This window comes from Homo sapiens, chromosome 16 (assembly GCF_000001405.40).
Source record: "Homo sapiens chromosome 16, GRCh38.p14 Primary Assembly".
NCBI classification, from domain to species: Eukaryota; Metazoa; Chordata; class Mammalia; order Primates; family Hominidae; genus Homo; species Homo sapiens.
The window spans coordinates 25,648,659-25,673,597 of NC_000016.10; the positions used below are offsets into that span (position 1 = coordinate 25,648,659).

The window sequence follows — 24,939 nt, forward strand, 5'->3', positions numbered from 1 at the left end:
TGGCTGGGCATGGTGGTTCACTCCTGTAATCCCAGCACTTTGGGAGACCGAGGATGGTGGATCATTTGAGGTTGGGAGTTCAAGACCAGGCTGGCCAATATGGTGAAACCCTGTCTCTACTAAAAATATAAAAAATAGCTGGGCATGGTGGCAGGCACCTGTAATCTCAGCTACTCGGGAGGCTGAGGCAGGAGAATTGCTTGAACTCGGGAGGTGGAGGTTGCAGTGAGCCAAGATCGAGCCACTGCACTCCAGCCTGGGTGACAGAGCAAGACTACATCTCAAAAAAAAAAAAAATTCCCCCCTTTTTTTAAGCTATTACATTAACTCTAAAATCAAAACAAACTTAAAAATTAAATACAAATAAATTTTTTAATTTATTTGACAGGACTAGTCAATTTCTTAATATCTTTAATTTAATGTGACAAGTGATATCTTTTTGCAACATCAAGATTTCTGTTTCTAGGCCCAATGCTGGTCACTAGGTTTATTTGAGTGTGAGGGCAGGTGTCTACCACCATGATCTGGTTGATGACTTAATTATCTCACAATCTTCTCTAGGTGCAAATGCTTCAGAAACCTTCATTCACATGGAACAGTGGTCAGCAAAATTTTCTGTAAAGGGTCGGATAACAAATACTTTAGGTTTTGTGACTCCTGTGACAACTACTCATCTCTGCCATTGTAACTGGAAAGCATCCACATACAATATATAAATGATGGTCATGGCTGTGTTCCAACAAAACTTTATTGAAAAAAACAAGCAGTGGGCCAGAATTGGCATAAAGGCTGCAGTTCACTGATGATTATTGCAGATCATGAACTTCTCCATCAGGAAAGCAGGCAATAGGCAGGAATTTCTGTGTAGTCATGGACACATTTAACAGGCCAGGAGACAACTGCAGAACAAAGGGAGATCAATCAACCACATACAGTATTTACGAAATTTTGTTCACAAAACTAGGCAACCGACTGGATTTGGTTCACAAACCATAGTTTACTAACCCTGGATACAAAACAATGTCAGATTATGCTTTTACTTAACACTTGTATCCAAACCAGTTCACAACAACAATGATCACATTGGGAATTTTCCTTGGATCAGAATATGGCTGCCACCAACAGCTCCTCAACCATAAGAGGCTCAGAGATGCTCAGAGGTCATAACCACTTAGTTTCTGATGGGACAGCCAGAAGGGCTGGGAGATGATAGGTTTTATGCATTAGCCACCAGGGTCTAATGCACACAAACAGAATCTGTGCACCACTGATGTTGGTCCTTAAACTTGAAAATGCAGTAAACAAAGAGATTTGGAAATAGTCTTTTAAATTTGGTACCTAACTTTTTATCCACACAGCAAGGCACTTGGGATCAGAATTTTGATTCTCTTTACGAAGCCCTTCTATATATAGAATCACATTCTACTTCTCTCTTGTAGCCTAACACACCAGAGAATTAATTTTATTGTTATTATGTTTTAATTTTAGACAAAGAATACATTTTGAAAGAAAGAAGGGACAGGAAATAATATACTTTGAATAAAGAATAGGCTTGTTTAGTAGAGAGTTGCAAGAAAACAAGAAACAACTTTGCCACACATTTTCCCCTTACTCTCCTCTTCCCAGGACAGTAAGTTCAGAAAAAAATGGAGATAAAATCAGATTTTGGTGTGTGTGCTTATACTTTTCATCTGGTGAATGAATGGGTGGCTCTTTACCAAACAGACAAGAAGGCTGAGTTCTCCAGTGGGGCTTGTTTTTCTCGGTATTTTTGGACAAATTGTACTCCGTTACCTATAACCCTAATTATATGTGCTGGCCCCTATGCTAGGTGCTAGTAAACTAGAATGGAAGGTAAGAGCATCTTGCGATGAAACGGATGGCACCAATTGGGCACCACCAAAAAGTGTTTAATAATTGCCTGTTATGTGCCAAGCACTATGCCAAGTGCTCTACGTATGATTTCTCTGGTAATACCAATGAACATCCCGTTTAATAGACATATTATCTTCACCTACTTTACAAGTAAGAAAATTGAGACTCACAGAGGTTAAATAATTTGGCAAAGGACAGACAGCTATTAAGTGGCAGAGTGCGGTTCTGACCCTGCTTGTCCTAGTCTTTGAGCTGCTATTCTGCTACATACATAAGTTGAACACCTAAACAGACAATTCCACACTATCCTATCATGCTATGAGATGGTCAGAACGGCAGTAGAGGCTCTGGGACCATGGAGGTTGTGATGGGGGTGGGTTGATTTTATGCAGAGTATTAGAAAGCAAATGAATTATGGGATATGACTTATGGGTGGGAACCAAGCATAGCCTAGCTTCTGAACCTAGTGGAGTGTTTTGCTGAAGATCTCATTTTAGATTATACTGGACTGTTTTGGAGGAAAAAAGAGAAAACAATCAGCCAAGTTTTCCTTCTAGAGATCCCCATGGCTAACCCCGTCACTCCCTGCAAACCTTTTAAAATGTCGTCTTTACTGTGAGAGCTACCGGACCACCCTTATTTAAATTGCAGCCCTGCCTACCCTCTGTCATCACTTGGAGTTCTTCCCTCTTCCCCTTTTCCTTATTTTCTTACAGAATTGTTTTCACCTTCTAACATACTGTACTGTACTGTATAAGTTACTTATTTGTCATGTTTTTTGCTGATTTTCATTATTCACTACTTGAGTTCACCCCTTTAGAATGTAAAATCAATGAGAGGAGGGATCTGTGTCTGTTTCGTTCACTCACATATCCGAAGTTCCCAAGAAGAGTGCCTTGTATACAGTGGGTCCTCATTCGAGAGTTGTTGAATTAGTGAATGAGGAAATGAATCTTGAGAAACCAACCATGGGCATACTATTGGGCTGAATGATTTTAATGGCCCTTCCCAATCCTACCATTCTGCTCCCACATCTAAGAAAAGCATCTTTCCATTTAAGATGCAAGAGTATTGGAAAGCAAGTTCCCGCCTATCTAGATACCTGACTATCACTGGGATAGTGCTTTTGGACCTGGATTAAGCCTACATGTTCAATAAGCTTACATCTTCAGTCTACTGTGCTCATCTTCATTCCAGTCCTCTGCTCTCCTGACATGAGCAGTTATAGAAGAGAATTTAGTGCATACAGCAAATATTCCCCACATCTCAATGGCAGGCAGAACAAACTCTGTGATTTGAGTTGGAAATATTTTTTTAAAAATTCATGGGAATGTCTTTGAATTTGAATTAACATAATTATAAAATTTACAAGCATCCAGTGTGCTTTTTATAAGGCTCCTATAACAGATGTGTCAAATGTCTAGCTTTGAAAGGACTTCATAATTCAGTTACAATTTCCTCTGGGTTAAATATTGGAGTCTGAGAGTTGGGGGTTGGGGAATGAGAGCCATGCATTTCTTGACATGCCATCTGAATGCAGGATGGATGGAGTCAGTAACAAAGGCTGCGTCCTTTTCTTCTTTTCATTATGTTGAATCATACCCCCTTAATAGGTGAGGAGCACTCCCCATCTTTAAAGGTTGGAACTAACTTCCAAATTCTTTCTTGAGCACATTTTGGCTGCTACCAATCCCTGTATCTGTTTGCACTCCATGGATGGAAGGGATGGAGGGTGCCAACATTTACTTCTGTGTAACCAATGATGATCAAATCTGGAGCTCTGCTTTGACAGTTGATGTCAAAGGACAAATTTAGTGTCATTTATTGTGCATTCATTCCTTTTTTAATGCATATACCCCAGTTTCCAAAGACAGAAAAATCTGAGGTTATTCTTGATTGTTCCTCCAGCTTCACCGCCTTTCCCTGGCTGTCATTTAGTCACCAACTTCCATCACTTGACCCCTAAATATTTTTATAATCCATCCACTTCTCTCCATCCTCACTACTCTTACCCTACTTATGACTACCATATTGTTCTTCTGTTAAGCTCCTAAATCTTAAATGAGGTCTGTAAACAGGGTGACAAATTCATCCAGGGTTCCCCAGGAGTGTTCCAGTTTTAAAATGGAAAGTCCCACATCCCCAAATCTACCACCCCTCAATCCCGGCCAAACCAGAACTTCTGGCCCCACTACCTGTCTGTCTTGTAACTCTCTGCTTCCTTTGTTTGCTCCAGCCTCACTGACTTTCTTCCAGTTGTGTGAACTTGGCCATGTTCTTTCCTACCTCAAGACCTTCATTCTGGCTGGACTTCGGTCTTAATCTGTTTTATGTTGCTATAAAGGAATAGCAGAAGTTGGGTAATTTGTAAAGAAAAAAAGTTTATTTGGATCCTAATTCCAGTGGCTGGGAAGTTCAAGATTGGGCATCTGGAGAGGGCCTGAGGCTGCTGCCAATCTTGGTGGAAGGTGAAAGGGAGCCAGCATGTGCAGAGATTGCATGGTAAGAGAGGAAGCAAGAGGGAGAGAGGGAAGGTGCCAAGGTCTTTTTAACAACCAGCTCTCTCAGGGACTAATAGAGAACTCACCCCCACTCCCACTCCCCAGGACATTAATCTATTCATGAGGGATCCACTCCCATGACCCAGACACTTCCCATTAAGCCCCACCTTCAACACAGGGGATCAAACTTAAACATGAGGTTTGGAGGGAAACATCCAAGCCACAGCAAATTGCTTTTTCAATCACTCTTTGCCTGGCTAACTTCTTCGCCAGATTTTTGGCTTAAATGTCACATCTTTAAAAGAGTCTTTATGATCCAGTGCCCGGGTCCAACTTACTTCTTGACCTTGCTATAACCTCTGATTGTACTCTTTACTTTCCTTTCATATCACTCTCAACTTGTAGTTTTGTTTATTTGTAAAATTATACATTTAAAGTAGGACTTTCTCATTAAAACTCAGCTCCTTGAAGGCAGAGGCCATGTCTTTTATACAGCTGTTTGTCCCTAACACCTAGCACAAGACCTGACAGGCATGAAGCACTCTGTAAATACATCCTTAATAAATTTAATTTCCGTGTATGTTCCTTTTCCCCTTGATTAAACTTGCAAGAGCTTTGTCTATCCTCCCTCTTTTCATTCCTTCCTCCTTCCTTTCCTCTCTCTTGCCTTCCTTCATCCCCTTACTCTTTCTCTCTTTTGAAGAAACAACTCCTGGAATAATTTGTCAACTCTACTATTTTTATCATTTCTAAGCCCCAAATTTCTGCTTTTATCAGTATTATTTCCTTCATCTATATTCATTATTTTTCCTATACTCCTTTTTCTTATTTTTTGAGCTCTTGGGCTTATTTGCCATCACTTTCTTCCTCCTACCTGATTTAGCTATACTGCGCCTGCATTTTCTTAAGGAAGCTGAGCTTTTTTTAATTTTGGGACTCTTTCTGAGCACGTTATTTTCTCTGTGTGATAGACGCTTCCTTCATTAAATTAGCGGATATTTAATGGATACCTTCCCATCTGAACTACTAATTCAGGTCTACTGAACTACTAGTTCTTTAATACCTGGCTCAGCTGTAGCTTGTCTGAAATGCTTTCCTGCTTCTACTCCCCTGTAAGTTAATCTGTTTCTTAGTCCCACAACTATACCTTGAGTAGACATCCGTTATAGTGCATATATGGCACTGGAATATTTATTTGTACTCCACCTTCCCCACTGAACTCTGAGCTCCACAATGACAGTGGCTTACCCTTGTGTCTATTTTTCAGTGGGCTTACATTCTGGAGAAAAGGGAAATAGATAATCAGCATGGCTTTCTTTAAGGTTTCATCTCCCCAAGAAGTAAAAGAGATCTAAAAAAATAAATAGAATAAGTCAATGTGAAAATGGACAAAAAGACGAAGAGATAGAAAAAATGTCAAGTTATGTACCATGTATATTTTCAACTTTATTGAATAATGCTAATGAAAATTTATTGAGACAAGAAGGAAAAAATGGGGAGGCCCATAAAAATATAAATTTGGTGTAAATAAGAGAGGTTTTGAGAAAACTCACACTGGCTGGACTTGGTCCCTACAAAATATAAATTTTGAAGGGTTTGGCAATTGGGACAGAATAAAAACCCTGATCAGAGTGGAATAAATTTGAAGTCCTCAAAGAATGTGTTTTGTAGTCAACCAGGGGAGGATCAAAGACATTAAAGGCATCAAAGGACCCAGTAGATAAAAAAGCAAATAACCTTTGTGCCTTTACTTAGCAGTGCCTGACAGTCTAAGAACTGAAGTGGGTAATGGATGATGCGTCTGGGAACCGGGAAGGCAGAGGTAATGGAATTTCATGAAGGCAAAGGCATCAAGAATGCTTATAAGAATCAGTGATGTGGCTTACCATGGGCTGAGATGAGCGAGGCCAGAAAGAGAGGTGTGAGAATGGAGCTCCTGGTCATGGCAGACAACAGGTTCTGGGGGAAAATAGAAATGAAGAGGTGGAAGGAGAAATTATTATGACAAGTGGGGAGGGTTTCAGAATTCACACTATGTTTAGAGTAGGTCAACATTAGGGTTACATCTTCTCACTGGGCACAATCATTTTTATCCCATTCCATTGATGGAAATGAAATAAAAATTATAAAACATCAAAAGAATAAAAACTGGTTAAAGATTTATCAGTCCCTTTACTGTCTGTCAAATTCAATGCCAACTGCTATTCAGGTATTAGAACCTGCACAGTTCCTGCCGTGCGGCTGAAGGTGAAATTTCCCACTAGTCAGGGCAGCCCTGGGCCCCAGGCATGCTGTGGTTCATTTGATGATGGAGCGGGTTTCAGAGTGATTGTCCTAGCTTGCGGCTGAACCTCTGTCCAAGATCATCAGGGAGAGAAGATATCCCCTTCTGTTATTGGTGCTATCCAAAAACAGTCTTATTCTTCTTTTTTTTTTTTTTTGAGATGGAGTTTCTCACTGTGTCACCCAGGCTGGAGTGCAGTGGCACCATCTTGGCTCATTGCAACCTCTGCCTCCTGGGCTCAAGTGATCCTCCTGCCTCAGCCTCCCAAGCAGCTGGGACTACAGGCGCCCTCCACCACATCTGGCTAATTTTTGTATTTTTTTTTTTTTTTTTTTGAGACAGAGTCTCACTGTGTCTCCCAGGTTGGAGTGCAGTGGCGCGATCTTGGCTCACTGCAAGCTCCGCCTCCCAGGTTCATGCCATTCTCCTGCCTCAGCCTCCCAAGTAGCTGGGACTACAGGCGCCCGCCAACACGCCCGGCTAATTTTTTGTATTTTTAGTAGAAACGGGGTTTCACCGTGTTAGCCAAGATGGTCTCGACCTCCTGACCTCAAGTGATCCACCTGCCTTGGCCTCTGAAAGTGTGGGATTACAGGCTTGAGCCACCACACCCGGCCAGTTTCTTTAATCTTACTTAGAACACCAAGGGATAAGAGTCTCTATACATTTTATAAAAAAGATACAAGGCAAATAAGAATGATTTTTAAATACATGGGGCTTTAAGCTACAAATTTACAGACACATTTTCCCTGTTCTGGTTTCATATTTCTATGCTTTCCGGGAGGCAGCACAGATCTTGGTGTTGCTGTCTTTAAAACAAGAGAAAAGAGTCAAAACAGTTAATCTCACATGCTTTCACATGATAAAGAAAAATCAGCACAAGTTGGCATAGGGGGAGATGTTGGTAGCAGAGCCAAAGTAAAGGATTTTCCCAATGGGTCCTTGTAATGATGCCCTCTTGGAGGAGGAGGGACTCGGAGTAATATACAAAGATCCAAGCTGTGGCCAGGCCTTTAAGTAACTCAAGTGGTTTAGAAGTGATGGCCACATCCCATGAGAAGGCCAAGCAATCAAAGCCAAAAGATGAAGGATGGTGATGGCCCTGAGGATACTGGTAGGAGGCAAGGTAAGAAGGATAACGGTATAGGGGCCAAAGACCAAGGTTTCAAACTTTAGCAACTAAAATGATGATGATGCAACAGAAAATAAAGATGACTAAGTAAAAGCAAACCTACTCTGTGAATAAGGGATTGGGTGCAACTAACCTGCCTGAGTCTATAAACTGATGGCTTCTTTTTTTATTCAAATTTTAATTAATGAATGTACTTTTAGAGATAGTGTCTCACTGTTGCTCAGGCTGGAGTGCAGTGGTGCGATCATAGCTCATTGCAACCTTGAACTCTTGGGTTCAAGTGACCCTTCTGCCTCAGCCTCCCAAGTAGCTGGGACCACAGGTATGTGTCACCACTCCCAGCTAATTTCTATTTTATTTTGTTTATTTTATTTTATTTTATTTTATATTTTATTTTATTTTATTTTATTTTTTTATTTTTAGAAGAGATGGGGTCTTTGTTTGTTGCCCAGGCTGGTTTCTAACTCCCAGCTCCAAGCTATCCTCCCACCTCAGCCTCCCAAAGTGCTGGGATTATAGGTGTGAGTCACTGTGCCCTGCCCGGTGATGGCTTTTTGAACTGAGGTGGGAAAAGTTGGGGAAACAGTAAGGGATTGGTCACTTAAACCACCTTCAAATTGCAATTTAACAGAAGCCCAAGCTCCATCTTCTTCCCTAAGACTGGACACTAGTGCTTCCATTTTCTTAACTGCACATTCAGAAAATTAGTTCCTAAGGCAGCCGTCATGGTGGTTGACATAGACGGACTATAGTGATCACTTGACAGGTGCAAGAGCTTCAGTATCAGGTACTCTCTATCCGTGCTTGCCATTGCTTCCTTTCACCTCTGCACTTCCGGGAGCAACATTAACAGCTGGAAAAATGAGAAATGCCTGTACGTGAGTTACTGCAACCACAACAAGTCAGTGCCGACTGGTAAGTTTGCTGGTTCACCATCTACCAACTTTTGCATTCTAACTTCATGCTATGTGTGAGTTGAGTTCATGCCTTGACAAAATTTCACAATCGTTCATCTCAGAGTCACTTTCAAATAATCTAAATGGTAAGTACTGAATGTGCAAGCGCCAAGGGACTGGTGTTTAAATATATTTGCATATGAACTGATTTCTAAACCATCCTCTGGATCTCATGCCATTAGTTAATATCTCTATAGGCTCTTCAAACATAAGTTAATTCTGTTTTATTTCTTTGTGCTATTATTGTGGTCCCCTAAGGGGTTATATTTGGGAAAAGATACTGAATCATGGCTTTCAACTTTGAACTATTTGGAAACTAAACGTCCCCAAAAGTCCCACCCTTAACCAAATTAGTTTCACTTCAGGGAATGAATAGATCTGAGATTGACTTGTTAGTTCTTGAAGATTAACACAGAGTAATATTTATATTGAATTTTTGATTAAATGATTTTATTAAAGCCTCTAAAAAATAACCCTTTTCATTGGTTCAGACAAAAGATGGCTTTGCTTCAGAAATGCCAGCACAGCCTCCCAGACAGAATGCCTGTGCGGTGTCTTTTTTCCTCTCCCACTTTCACTTCCTAAAAGGGAGAAGCTCCTCAAGGGTCTCAGACACGGCGCTACTGTGTGGCAAGGGGGCACCGCTCACACAGCAGTCTGACCACGTGAAGCTGCTTCACAGTCAGAAGTGCAGGGAACAGGGAGAAAAGTTGTTCTTAGTTATGTGAATACATATAGAAAAACTCTTAAAGAAAGCTTTGCTAGTGTTGTAGGTCAGTTTCCAGGGCCTGAGATGAAGATTGTTGTGAAAAGAAGAAATGTTCTTTGCTCCAATGTTTTATTGGAGAAATGCTCTCTGGAGAGAGGACGTGAGGCAAATGGGAGAAGAAAACTAAGCAAGACTGTGGTCTCAGCTGGAGGCTCACTTCAGCCTGATACCTCAGGAAGCTCTGGCCCACCTTGAGACCAGGCACTGGCCTTTTGTACCCCAGATAGTCACTGGACACTGGCCCCCCTGTGGTGGGGAGTAACCAGGAAAAGCAGTGTCACCTTAGCAACCAATACTCAAAGCAACTGAAGAACGAGTTCACCACCGGTTAAGGGACCTGGGCAGGGCACTAACAGCATCCACTATACTTGGGGAGGGAAGAAAGAAGGTTAGAAAAGAAAGGAAGGACTCTCTGTGAGCGAATAGTTTATAAGCTGAGACTGGGTGGTGAGTGAGAATCAGGGTAAGAGGCTTAGAGGAGAAGCAGGGAGAGTGGTGTCCCAGGAAAAGAGAACTGCAATGCAATGGCCTAGGGCTGGGTGACATCCCTTGCTCTTTGTTCTGGGTGTTCTGGCCTCCTGATTCTGGGATTGAAGGAATGGGTGAAGTGGTACTGCCATAAAGAAGTAGCAATGCGGTAGAGTTTTGTACTTTTGGGGTTCTAGAAGGGGTCCAACAGATTTGTGAAAGAAAATATGAGTATGTGCTGGGCTCTGAAGACTGCTAGTATCACTTTTCAAGTACTTTACCCTCTGTATAAAAGTATATTTAAACAGGGTGCTGTGGCTCATGCCTGTAATCTCAGTGCTTTGTGGGGCCAAGGTGGGTGGATCACCTGAGGTCAGGAGTTCGAGACCAGCCTGGCCAATGTGGCAAACGAAACCTCATCTCTACTAAAAGTACAAAATTGGCTGGGCATGGTGGCAGGTGCCTGTGATCCCAGCTACTCAGGAGGCTGAGGCAGGATAATTGCTTGAACCCAGGAGGCGGATGTTGTAGTGAGCCAAGATAGCACCACTGTACTCCAGCCTGGGCAACAGAGCAAGACTCTGTCTCAAAAGAAAAAAAAAAAAGTGTATTTATCTGCTTTAGAGGGATGAGTGAAGTTTCCTATGCCTGGAAAGTTTACAAATGCCTACCAAGCTCAAGCCCTTGGTCTAGAAGGGTGAAGGATCTTCTGTGGTCTGTGGGGTAACATGGTCCATCCCTCCCAGGTAGGACATCCTATGTGCCATCCCCTACTGACTTAAGGCACATAAAATTCAATGAAGATAAAAAGAAAGAAAGATAGAGAGATAGATAGATGACAAGGGAGTTAAAAATACAAATTTTTGCATGAATTCGGAGATATCAAAAGCCAACAAATAATGTGTTAACTATCCCATGAAGATTAAGGTAGGGAGAAGAATTAACCCTATCTCCTCAGTGTCCCAGCATGAGGTATTTTGATAAGCTATACTCAACTCAGCTGGAGCTGAGCAAGGCAGGTGGATGCAAGGGCAATTGGCAGGGAAGAAGGACTTTGGTTGTGATTGAAGATAAAAGGTGCTCAATAAATATGTATTGGATAGTGAATGAATATCCTAATGAGGCCTCATTTCCTACGGCCACTCTAAAGACAAGCTATAAAAGAGAAGAAACAAAGAGAAAAAAAGACAGAATAACAAAAGAAACATAACAGATTAAGAAGAGCATAAAGCCACACATTTTAAAATGAGACAAGAGAATTTCAACTAAAGATGAATTGAGGACAGACATATACCAAGGTCCTTCAAATGTTAAAAAAAAACACAAAACCCTGCATTTTTAAAAGAACCAGTCCACAACAATGCTAGAGAACTAGAGAGGCAAGTACCTGGAGAAGAACATTTCGAAGAAATCTTAGAATACAGAACACAGATGGGATCTGATTAATGAATAAAACAGATCATGGAAAGTTGTAGCCCCAAATTCCAGAAGGAAGAGGAATCCTTCCCAAAGGAGTCCTTTAAAAACTCCAAGCTCCAGTGCTCGAGGCCAGGAGTTTGAGGCCAGCCCGAGCAACATAGTGAGATCCTGTCTCTCTAAAAACTTAAAAAAAAAAAATTAGCTAGGCATGGTGGCACACACCTGTAGCCCTGGCTACTCAGAAGGCTGAAGAGGGAAGATCACTTGAGTCCAGGAGTTTGGGGCTGCAGTGAGCTATGATTGTGCCACTGCAATCCAACCTGGGTGACAGAGTGAGACCTTGTCTCTAAAAAATTAAACAAATAAATAAATAAATAAATAAATAAATAAAACCTTCCAACCTCCTACTCCACAACTATAAAGGACAGGGATATGGAACAAGTATCAAGGTGATTAATAAATTAATTATAGTTTGAGTCCACGTGGTCTGTTTCATCGAATTTGCATCCTACTCTCTCTCCTTGTATGTAATACTCCAGCTCCATGGGCCTGCTTTATGTCCCTTTATGTAATATGTTCCTACCTCAATGCCTTTGCACTTACTATTTCCTCTGTCTGCAACAATCTATCCATAGACCCTGACAAGGTTGGCTCTTCCTTGTCATTCAGATCTTAGTTCAAACCTCACCTATGCAGCAAAAACAACTTCTCTGACCACAATATCTAAATTAGATCCCAACCCTAGCCTGTCACTCTATCACATTACTCTGATTCCTTTCCTTCCCAGCACATATTAGTCTCTGAGATTGTCTTATTTGTTTATTTCTTTATTATTATCTGTGGGCAAGGATCTTATCTACCTGGTTTATCAGAGTATCCACAGCATCTGGAACATTAATACAATGTGGTGCTTGTATCAGTTAGCTTTTGCTGTGTAACAAATGACCCCAAAAGTTAATGGCCTCAAACAACAACACTTTATTTAGTCTATGATTCGGGTCAGCTAGGCAGTTCTTATCTGCATGAGCTCAGCTAATCTCTGTGGAGCTCTTTCAAGCATCCTTAGTCTGCTTTTAGGTTGGCTGGTGGTTGGATAATCCAGGAAGTCTTTTCCATGTGTCTAGTGTCTAGTTGGCTGTTGATCAGGGCAACAAAGCCATCTGGACCATATGCCCTTTGTTATCCAGCAGGCTTGCTTGGGCTTCTTCACAGAGTTGTAGGGCTCCAAGAGCATCAAGAGGAAGTAAGTAATCACAATGTGCAAGTGATTTTCATATGTCTGTTTCAAGTCACTTTTCTATAGTCCTGTTGAACAAAGCAGGTCACATGGCCACACCCAAGTTCAAAGGTATGAAGAAATAGACCCCACCTCTTGCTAAGAGGAGCTCTAAAGTCACATTGCAAACAGAGGTAGATACAGAGATAAGCACAATTTATAGCCATTTTTGCATTCTTATCATAGTACTCAATAAATATATGCCGAAGATATTTGACTTAAAGAATTGAGTCTTGGAAGGTGGGGTTAGTTGGGCCCCTTCTACCTTCCTCCCTGAATATATACAGCAGAGAACAGAAGTTTTTGGTCCCACATAAGAATCCAAGCTGTGCACTCCGAAGAAAAAATAATTCTAGCTACACCGAGATGCCCCCTCATTTGAGTGTAAAACCATGAATGAGAAGCAAAGCAGAGTTTGAGGAAACTCTGAAACACACAACAGGCAAATCATAAAAAAAGAAAGGCAAGACAGGTTTGCTCAAAAAGGAATATATCAAAGTATCTCACTGCTAAGAATAAAGTCTTCCTTTTTTTTGAGTCATTGTCTACAGCCTGCCTACCCTTTATCCACATCTCTTAAATGAAGTTTTTCAGTTATCACACCCTACCCACTAGCAGAGGCATCCCAAGGAGAAGTGTCTTGGTGAACAGAGCTACACAAATGCAAATGAAAACCTCCTTACTTCACAGCCTAGATCTTTATTCATAAACATGAACCAACAACAGAGTCAACAAATATGTAAGGAAAAGAAATTGCACATGAGAAATGTTAACATTAATAAATAAAATACAGGCGACTGCTGTGAAAACAGGCAAACCGAAGAGCAAGAACGAGAGTCCCTGGTAATTAAAAATATGTGTGGCACTACAGAGAAAATTCTGCGGGCAGACTGGGTAAGAAAATGGATGTAGTTAATGATCACATCAGTGATCTGATGATAAAATTCAATGGAATCATGCAGCCCTGAGCAAAAGGCAAAATAATAAGAAGTCTGAGAGAAATATTAAGCAGCATAGGTGTCTGCTGTTTCTTTTATTGGGGTTCTAGAGGCAGACAAAATAGTCAATAAAGGGAGGAAAAATTCAATGATCTACTATAACATAACTTCCCTGAGACAAAGTCATAAGTATTCAGTTTGAAAAGAATTTCAAAGAGAATCCGTATACATTAAAAAAAATCCATATCTAGAAAAACTTCTGGACTTTAAGGAGAAAGAAGAAATACTAAAAGCTTCCAGACATACAAAATAAAGTTCACTTGCAGTGACAGGGGAGTCAAACTAAATTCTCATTAGTGATCTTGGATGCCAGAAGAAAGTGAAATATACCCTTAAATTTTTGAGGGTATATGATTTTAAACCTAGTATTCAATACTTAGTCAAACTCTAAAAGAGCAGTTTAAAGACATGTACAGAAATTTAGGATTCAATCAAGGACCTCACAAAAAAAAAATACTCAAGGAGATGCTCCAGCAAAACAAACAAACAAAAATGTAAGAAATTAATAGCTGAATATCATACAGAAGAAGCAAAGAAAATTAAAAAGACTTTAAAAGAGGCTATATTTGAACCCTGGGATTTGAGAAATTCTCTCTTAAGCAGAAGGATTTTAATGACACTAAATATCTTCTTAATGGATCTATTCTCGTTACTTGATAGTTAATGAATAATGTTTATATAATTGCAACCTGAAAATTAGTGTTTTTTCATTTATTTTCAATTTTTATTATTAATGCATAGACAAAGTACAGAACACTTAATTAGATATATAGAAAATTGTATAAGAGTTATAAACTTGTCAACATAAAAATAATAAAACTAATAAAACCTTGGGCTGGAGAGGAAGATGGTGGTAATGCAAAGAAGCTAAATTTCTTATCTATCATAAGCAGGAAGTCAAAGGATGGTATCTAAAGTTAGTAAATTAAAAAAAAAGAAATATAAGCATATAATTTAAAATTATAATGGTAACCACTAAGATAATTAAACAACAGAAACTCTTCAATTAGCTGTTTCTACGAAATAGGTCTGGAAAGGTTGAAGATTGGTTAGCAGGATTTTCACTTTTCATTTCAGACTTCTTTATAAGTGGAATGATCCTTGGGGGTGGGTAGGGTAGGGTACAGGATCTCTCTTGCTGCTCAGGCTGGAGTGCAGTGGCATGATCATAACTCATTGCAGCCTCAGATTCCTGGGCTCAGAAGATCCTCCTGCCTCAGCCTCTTGAATAGCTGTGACTATAGGTATACATCATGAAACCTGGCTTTTTGCAGAGACAGAGTCTTGCTGTGTTGCTCATGTTGGTCTTGAACTCCCAGTCTCAAGTGATCCTCCTGCCTCAGGCTCCCAAAGTGTTGAGATTACAGGTGTGAGCCACTGCTCCTGGCCCAAAATAACTTTGTATTTTATTTGTTTCTATATGCAAGTATTATTTTGATTAAAAATTATTTAAGGCAATAGAATAATTAATTTGTAATAAAATTTACCAGTAATACAATTTAATAAAACTTCAGTGAGAACTGTAATAGTTTCAGAAGAGTTAAGATAACAGAAGGCTAAAATCAAACAAATACAAATTTAAAACAAAACTAAGAAGTGACACAAAAATTATTAAATCAAAAATTTAAAAGCTTGAAAGCTTTTTAAAATATATAAATGACAAAATTTAAGATAAAAGATTGGAAGTTATTATAGTTTTCAAGGAAATATAAATGAAGGATAAGCACATGAGGTAAAAGTTAAATATGTAGGAGTTGATTAGGCTAACAATTAAGACCTACTATGTTAAGGTGAAAAGTATGAATACTAAGCACAAAAACTCTAAAAAAATGTTTTCAGAAAAAAATGTAAAGTTTAGTAGTTAGATGGAAGAAAAAAGACATCTAAAAGTTCATGTTTAAAATACTATTTTTGAATAAATATTTCTGATAGTTATAATTTTTCATCCATTCATTCATTCATTCACCACTTTAAAAAAGACAAAAAGCCTTTATTGGACATACTTACTTGATAATCCCGGTGAGATATGAAGATGAAAAAAAAACCTACTATATGTGTCAAATAGGTCAAATTGAGTAGAAGAGAGAAACACAGGCACAACTAAATAAAACACAATAGAATAAAGTTACAATAAAGCTTTGTACCATGTTCTACGGGGCCACAGAGAATGGTGCAATTAACTTGCCTTGGGCATTGGGAATAATACAAAGTGGAGATGCATTTTCTGTTCCACTTTGAAGAGTAAATGGGAATTTCCCACTGAGCTAGAAGAGCCAGGGCATTTCAGGCAGAGGGAACAAAAGTAGAAGGAAAAATAGGTTTGAAATTACATGGCATGTTTGAAGAAAGATTAATAATTTAGTGTGGTGAGAGTTTGAGATATATGGCAAGAAGTGAATATGAAGTTGGAAAGATAAATTGGTACCAGACTGTAAAGAGTTCACATGGTATCTGAAAGTTTTTACTTTGCACTATATATAGTTGGAAACCTTTGAAAGATTTTATGCACCCTAATGACATAATCAGAACCTACTTAATTCTGAGTTATGATGATAGAAAGCTAGTGCCTTTGGATTGGCCATTCCCCATACTCATATAGATGTAAACATTCAAGAGGACATGAAGAATTTCAATAGCACCAGGAACTAGGAATATTAAACGATCACTTGCTATAAAACAGGAAAAACTTTCATTACTTAACTCTTTAAAGCCTACAGATAAAATGGTAGAACCACTAATGGAAAAAATATCTCAAGAAATTTGACAAGATTTCTTCCATCAGGGTTAAAGAAATTTAAATTTTCTTCAATATGGAAGCTATTTACTAGGGTAGTCAGAGTCATTTAACACCCTTACTAAGCATCAGTTGTGATCTGAAATCTGCAGTTGGAAGAAAATGAGCTGGAAGAGCTGTAGGAGTAGCATATAGTAAAGGTTGTAGATTTTTTATCATGAATGCAGAAATAGCCTATCCAGAAATAAATTCTAAATATTTTAGAAAGACAATCAGGTGGTGGTATCAAGATATCACTTCTTAGAACACCACATTATTATTTTAAGGAATAGTTGGCTTTTTTAAACTAGAAAAATTAATGGTAGTTGGCTAAACTAGAAGGTTTCATAATAATTATCTGTTTTAACCAAAAAGTTGGCTAAAGGCTATGCATATGAAATAATTCTAAGCCTCAGAGCAGGAAGAAGTAATAGACCACTTAGCAACCTGATGGGCATTCCGGCGAACTGAAGAGAAATTATGTATATCGCAAATAGGAAAAGGCTATATATGTCCTATTCCTCACTGAACAGGATGAAATGGAAATAAGAACAACCAGGCAACCCCTTGCTGACCCATATTTCAAGTTGCTGTCTGTAGACTGAGCAGCTGGACCTGTCCTGGCAATCAGGCATGACCATGCAGCCCTGGACTTCAGGCTTGTGTGGCAGACTCCATCTCTGTGTCACATCTATGTCAAGCCTACTTCAGTGGCCCAGGCTCCATAGAGCTCTCAGTGGCAGGCAGCTTTTGGTGTGCCCCAGTGCTATGCTGGCTGTATCTGCACTAGGCTTCTGGCCTGCCCCAGTGCCATACCTGTCACAGTGGGCCCTGGGCTTCTGTTGCATCCCAGGACTCAGCTGCCTCTGGTTTCTGGTGTGACCCAGTGCCATGCCTGCCAAAGGCTTTCCTAGGCAAAGTCATTCTGTGAAGACTGGAATAAGTACCTACTTCTTCAAATGTGCCGACACTGACACGCAACCACAAGCATTAGGAACAGTCATGGAGGCCGGGTGCGGTGGCTCACGCCTGTAATCCCAGCACTTTGGGAGGCCGAGGCGGGTGGATCACGAGGTCAGGAGATCGATACCATCCTGGCTAACACGGTGAAACCCCGTCCCTACTAAAGATACAAAAAATTAGCCGGGTGTGGTGGTGGGTGCCTGTAATCCCAGCTACTCGGGAGGCTGAGGCAGGAGAATGGGTAAACCCGGGAGGCAGAGCTTGCAGTGAGCCGAGATCTGGCCACTGCACTCCAGACTGGGTGACAGAACAAGACTCCGTCTCAAAAAAAAAAAAAAAAAAAAAAAAGAACAGTCATGGAAACATGATGCCACCAAAAAGACAAAATAAGTGCCAGTGACTGGCCCTAAAGAAATAGAATATAAACTACTTGACAAATAATTCAAAAGAACTGTTTTAGGGAAGCACAACAAACTTTAAACAAACATAGATAAACAATTCAACAAAATGATGGAAATACTTGGTGACCAGAACAAAAAAATTATTAGAGAGATTGAAATAATAAAAGAAAAATCAAACAGAAATCCTGGAGCTGAAATACACAATGAATGAAATGAAAAATTCAACAGTGAACATCAATAGCTGAATTAATCATACAGAAGAAAGAATCTGTGAGCTCAGAAACAAGTTATTTGAAAATACAGAGTCAGAAGGGAAAAATAAAAAAAGAATAAAAAGGAATAAAGAAAGCTTACAGGATTTACGGGTGGGCAGCACAAGAGCCAATGTATGAGTCATTGGTGTGCGAGATAGAGTAGAGAAAGATAAAGGGATAGAAAGTTTATTTTAAAAAAACAAGAGCAGAAAACATCCCATACCTGGAGAAAGATATAAATATCCAGGTACAAAAAAATAAAAAAATCTCTAGTCAGATTCAATGCAAATAAGATTACCTGAAGACATATTATAATCAAACTGTCGAAAATAAAAAAACAAAGAGGATCTTGAAAGCAGCAAGAGAAAAGCAACAAAAAAAATATAAGGGAGTTCCAATATGGCTAACGGAAGACTTCTTAGCAGAAAGCTTACAGGCCAAGAGAGAGGGCAATGGTATATTCAAACTGCTGAAGAAAAAAACAAAAACAAAAACAAAAAAACAACTACCAAATACTAAGCAAAACTAACCTGCAGAAATAGAGAGATAAAGACTTTCAAAGACAAACAATAGCTGAGAGTGTTCACTACCGTAAGACTCTTCTTACAAGAAATGATGAAAGGTTTTTGCCAGGAATGGTGCTGCATACCTGTAGCTAGCTACTTGGGGAGGCTGAGGTGAGAGGATCACTTGAGTCCAGGAGTTTGAGGCTGCAGTGAGCAATGATTGTGCCACTGCACTCCAGCCTAGGTGATAGAGCAAGACCCCGTTTCTTAAAAATAACAAAACAAAACAAAAATGCAAAAGGAGTTCTTCAAGCCAAAAGAAAAGCATGCTAATGGGTAACATAAAAACACTTGAAAGTATAAAACTCACTAGTAAAAGTAAGAGGACAACCAAATTCAGAATACTCTAATGGTGTAATGGCGTGTGAGTCACTTATATTTTTAATACGAAGGTTAAAATACCAACTGTTTAAAAAATAAAAACTACAATAATTTCTTAAAAGATATAGAATATAAAAAGATGTAAATTGTGAAATATAAATTCAAACTGTGGGGAGGTGGAGTAAAAGTGTAGAGTTTTTTTTTTTTTGCAATCAAATTTAAGTTGTTATTAGCTTAAAATAACCTGCTATATGTAATTATAAGATGTTTTTTGTAAGGCTCATGGTAGCCACAAAGAAAATCCTATAGTAGATTCACAAAAAATTAAAAGCAAGATATCAAAATATATGATCACAAAAAATCACTTAGCCACAATGGAAGATAGCAAGAGAGGAAAAAAGGAACAAAGGATCAACAAATGAATTAGAAAACAATTTACAAAATGGCTGTAGTAGGTCCTTACCTGTCAAGAATTGCCTGAAATGTAAATGGGTTAAAATCTCTAATCAAAAGACACAGAGTGATTGAATGGACAAAAACAAAAACAACAACAACAACAAAAAACAAGACTATACTGCCAACAAGAGCCTCATTCCACTTGTAAAGATGCATGACTGAAAGTGAAGAGAAAAAGAAATATATTCTTTGCAAATGCAAAACAAAAGAGAGCGGGAGTAGCTATACTTATATCAGATAAAATAGACTTTAAGTCAAACTCTAAAAAGAGAAAAAGAAGGTCATTATAGAATGATAAAGGAGTCAATTCAGCAGGAGGATGCAACAATTGTAAATGCATATGCGCTCAACATTGAAGGACCCAAATACATATCTGAAGAGAGTCTCTCTCTTCAGGCTTAAGATCTTCAACTTTTATTGCATTTTATTCTCTCTCTCTTTACATCTAAGTTCTGAAGAGAGAGAGAGACTAAAATGCAATAATAGTAGGGTACTTCAACACACTCCTCTTTCAGTAATGGACAGATCATCCAGACAGAAAATCAAAATGAAAACATGGAACTTAAACTACAATAAAATCAAATGGACCTAACAGACATATGCAGAACATTTCATCCAACAAATGCAGAATACACATTCTTCTCCACAACACAAGGAAGATTCTCTGGGATAAATCATAGGTCAGAAATAAAGTAAAATAATTTAAGAAGATGAAAATCATATCAAATATTTTTTCTGACCACAATGGTATAAAACTAGAAATCAATAACAGAAAGAACTTTGGAAAATTTACTAATATGTAGAAATTAAACATGTTCGTGAACAACCAATGGGTAAATGAAGAAGCTAACAAATTTCTTGAAACAAATGAAAATGGAAACACAACATACAAAACCTATATGATAAAGCAAAATCTGTTCTCAGAGGGAAATTTATAGCAGTAAACACCTATATCAAAAGACAAGAAAGATCAAAAGTAGGCAGCCTAACATTGCACCTCAAAGAACTAGAAAAACAAGAAAAAGCTAAGTTCAAACTTAGTAGAAGGAAATAATCAAGATCAGAGCAGAAATAAATGAAACAGAGACTAGAAAACTAACAGGCAAGATTACACTAAGAGTTGCTTTTTTTAAAAGACAAATGAAATGAACATTTTTTTAGCTAGATTGAGAAACAAAAGACTCAAATAAAATAAAATCAGATATAAAAAAGGAGACATTATAGCTGATGCAACAGCTGTATTTATATTTATAAAGGGTAGTAAGAGAATACAAGCATAACTCATTTTATTGCCCTATTCTTTACTGTACTGAACAGATGTTGGGTTTTTACAAATTGAAGGCTTGACACCCTTCATAAAACAAGTCTATTGGCCGGGCGCTGTGGCTCACACCTATAATCCCAGCACTTTGGGAGGCTGAGGCAGGTGGATCACGAGGTCAAGAGATCCAGACCATCCTGGGCAACATGGTGAAACCCCATCTCTACTGAAAATACAAAAGTTAGCTGGGCGTGGTAGCGCTCGCCTGTAGTCCCAGCTGCTCGGGAGGCTGAGGCAGGAAAATCGCTTGAACCTGGGAGGCGGAGGTTGCAGTGAGCCAAGATCATGCCATTGCACTCAAGCCTGTGTGACATGGTGAGACTCCGTCTTAAAAAAAAACAAGTCTATCAGTGTCAGCTTTCCAACATCATGTGCCCACGTCATGTCTTTGTGCCACATTTTCATAATTCTCATAATTCAAACTTTTAAATGATTATTGTATCTGTTATGGTAATCTGTGATCAGTAATCTTTGATGTTACTACTGTAATTTTTTGGGGGCACAACAAATTGTGCCTACCTAGAATGGCAAACTTAGTAAATGTGTGTATTCTGAACGCTCCAACAACTGGCCATTTCCCCAACTCTCTCCCTCTCCTTGGGCATTCCTATTCCTTGAGACACTACAGTATTGAAATTAGGCCAGTTAAAAGCCCTACAATGGCGTCTAAGTATTCAAGTGAAAGGAAGAGCTGTAGATTTCTCTAAAAATCTAGAAATTGTAAATCTTAGTGAGGAAGGCATGTCAAAAGCCAAGATAGGCTGAAACGTAGGCCTCTTGCACCAAATAGCCAAGCTGTGTATGTGAAGAAAATGTTTTTGAAGGAAATTAGAAATGTTACTGCAGTGAATACACAAATGATAGGAAAGGGAAACAGCATTATTGCACATATGGAGAAAGTTTTGTTTGTCTGGATAGGAGATCAAACCAAGCCACAACATTCCCTTAAGCCAAAGCTGAATCCAGAGTAAACCTCTAAATCTTTTTCTTTCTATGAAGGCTGAGAGAGTTGAAGAGGCTGCAGAAGAAAAGTTGGAAGGTAGCAGAGGTGGGCTCATGAAGTTTAAGGAAAGAAGTCATCTTCGTAACATTAAAGTGCAGGGTGAAGCAGCAATTGCTGATAATAGAAGCTGAAGCAAGTTATCTGGAAGATCTAGCTAAGATACTGATGAAAGTGGCTATACTAAAGAACAGAATTTCAGTGTAGATGAAACAGCCTTCTATTGGAAGAAGATGCTATCTAGGACTTTCATAGCTAGAGAGGAGAAGTCAATGTCTGGCTTCAAAGCTTCAAAGCACAGGTTGACTCTCTTCTTAGGGGATAATGCAGCTGGTGACTTAAGTTGAACCCAATGTTTATTTACTGTTCTGAAATTCTTAGGACGCTTGAGAATTATGCTAAATTTACTCTACCTGTGCCCTAGAAATGCAAGAAGAAAGCCTGGATGACAGCACATGTACTTACAGCATGGTTTGCTGAGTATTTTAAGCCCACTATTGGGACTCGATGCCCAGAAATGAAGATTCCTCTCAAAATATTACTGCTTATTGGCAATGCACCTGGTCACCCAAGAGGTTCGATGGAGATGTTCAAAGAGATTAATATTGTTTTCATGCCTGCTAACACAACATTCATTCTGCAGTCCATGGTTCAAGGAGTTACTTTGACTTTAAAGCATTATTATTTAAGAAATACATCTTGTAAGGCTATAGCTGTCATAGATAGTGATTCTTCTGTTGGATCTGGGCACAGCAAATTGAAAATCTTCTGGAAAGGATTCCCCATTCTTGATGCCTTTAAGAAAATTCATGATTCATGGGAGGAAGTCAAAATATCAACATGAACGGGAGTTTGGAAGAAGTTGATTCCAGCCCTCATGGATGACTTTGAGGGGTTCAAGGCTTCAGTGGATGAAGAAATTTCAGGCGTGGTGAAAATAGTTAAGAAAACCAGAATTAGAAGGGGAGCCTGGAGATGTGACCGAATTGCTGTAATCTCATGATCAAACTTGAACAGACAAGGAGTTGTTTCTTCTGGATGAACGAAGAACGTGGTTTGTTAAGATGGAATCTACTCCTGGTGAAGATTCTGTGAACACTGTTGAAATGACAACAAAGGATTTAGAATATTATGTAAATTTGTTGATAATAGTGGCAGGGGTTGAGAGGATTGGCTCCAATTTTGCAAGAAGTTCTGCTATGGGTGAAAGGCTATCAAACAGCATCACATGCTACATAGAAATCTTTCATGAAACAGACAGAGTCAGTTGATGCAGCAAACTTCATTGTCTCATTTTAAGAAATTGCTATAGCTACCTCAACCTTCAACAACCATTATCCTGATCTGTCACTAACTATGAATATCAAGGGAAACCCTCCACCAGTAAAAAGGTTACTACTCGCTGAAGGCTCCTATCATCATTAGCATTTTAACAATAAAGTATTTTAAAGTTAATTGCTTTTTTAGTTATAATGCTATTGCTCACTTAATATGCTACAGTATGGTGCAAACATAACTTCTATATGCACTGGGAAAACAAAAAATCTGCAGGACTCACTTTATTGCAATATTTGCTTTGTTGCTGTGGCCTGGAACTGAACTGGCAATATCTCTGAGATTTGCCTGTTTTACAAAAAATTATATAGCCACGAATTGTATAATCAAGAGGAAATGGGTTAATTTCTTGACACATGCAACCTACCAACACTGAATTATGAAGAAATAGAAAATCTCAACCAATCAATAAGGATTAATCAGATCAAATCAGTAATAAATAGATAAATAGTGTCCTATCACAAAGTCCAGGCTTTACTGCTGAATCCTACCAAACTTTTAAAGAACTAATACCAATTCTTCTGAAACCTCTTCAAAAAAATTGAAGAAGAAAGAATACCTCCAAACTCATTTTACAAGGTCAGCATCACCTTGATACTAGCAAACCAGGCCAGGCTGGCCTGGAACTTCTGACGCTAGGTGATTCGCCTGCCTCGGCCTCCCACAGTGCTGGGATTAGAGGCATGAGCCACAGCCCCAGCCTAGCAAACCAAATTTAACAGCACATTAAAAATATCATTCACCATGATCAAGTAGGATTCATCCCAGGGATGCAAGGATGTTTCAACATACATAATCAATAAATGTGATAGATCACATTAACAGAATTAAGGACAAAAACCACATAATCATTTCAATAGATGCAGAAAGAGCATTTGACAAAATTCAGCATCTTTTATGCTAAACATTCTCAAGAAATTAGGTATAGAAGCTTACCTCTCAACACAATAAAGGCCATATATGACAAACCCACAGCTAACATCATACTCAAAGGGGAGATGAAAGTTTTTCCCTTTAAAACCTAGAAAATGGCTGGGTGTGATGGCCCATGCCTATAATCCTAGTGCTTTGGGAGGCTGTGGTGGGAGGTTTACTTGAGGCTGGGAGCTTGAGACCAGCCTGGGCAACATAGTGAGACCCTATCTCCACACACACACACACACACACACACACACACACACACACACACACAAATAAATTAGCTGGGCATAGTAGTGCACACCTATAGTCCCAGCTACTTGGCAGACTGAGGTGGGAGGATCTCTTGAGCCCTGGAGTTGCAGGCTGCAGCGAGCTATAATGATGCCACTTGCATGCCAGCATAGGTAACAGGGTGAGACCTTGCCTCTAAAAGAAAAAAAATTGGAACAAGACAAGAATACCTATTCTTACCACCTCCATCCAATATAGTACTGAAGGTCCCAGTCAGACCAATTTGTCAAGAGGAAGAAATCAAAGCCATCCAAATTGGAAAAGAAAAAGTTAAATTGTACCTGTTTGCAGATGAGATAATTTTATGTATAGAAAACTCTGAAAAATTGAAAAATTGTTATAAACAAATTCACTAAAGTTGCAGGATACAAAATCAACATATAAAAACAAATAACATTTCTGTACACTAATAGCAAACTATCTGAAAAAGAAATCAAGAAAACAATCTCATTTGTAATAGCTACAAGAAAACCTTGGGAATAAATTTAACCAAGGAGGTGAAAGATCTCTACACTGAAAAGTACAAAACATTGATAAAAGAAATGAAAGAAGACAGGAAAAATGGAAAGATATCCTATGTTCATGAATGGCAAGAATTAATACTGTTAAAATGTTCATTCTACCCAAAGTGTTGTATAGATTGAATGTAATCCCTATCA

At 38.9% G+C, this 24,939-nt stretch overlaps 1 long non-coding RNA gene across 2 annotated transcripts; it reads right to left on the reverse strand.

Annotated features, from left to right (window-relative positions):
• Positions 1-729: 729 nt before the first annotated feature.
• LOC105369297 (uncharacterized) lies at positions 730-22,789 on the reverse strand. 2 transcript variants are annotated; one of them, XR_950938.2, is made up of 5 exons: positions 22,199-22,564; positions 6,263-6,335; positions 5,625-5,727; positions 4,071-4,211; positions 730-899 (listed from the first exon to the last, which is right to left on the reverse strand). It is a non-coding gene; the product is annotated as an uncharacterized LOC105369297 (long non-coding RNA). The 2 variants fall into 2 exon arrangements; XR_950939.2 differs by lacking the exon at positions 5,625-5,727 and having other exon boundaries at positions 22,199-22,789.
• Between the last annotated feature and the right edge of the window lie 2,150 nt (positions 22,790-24,939).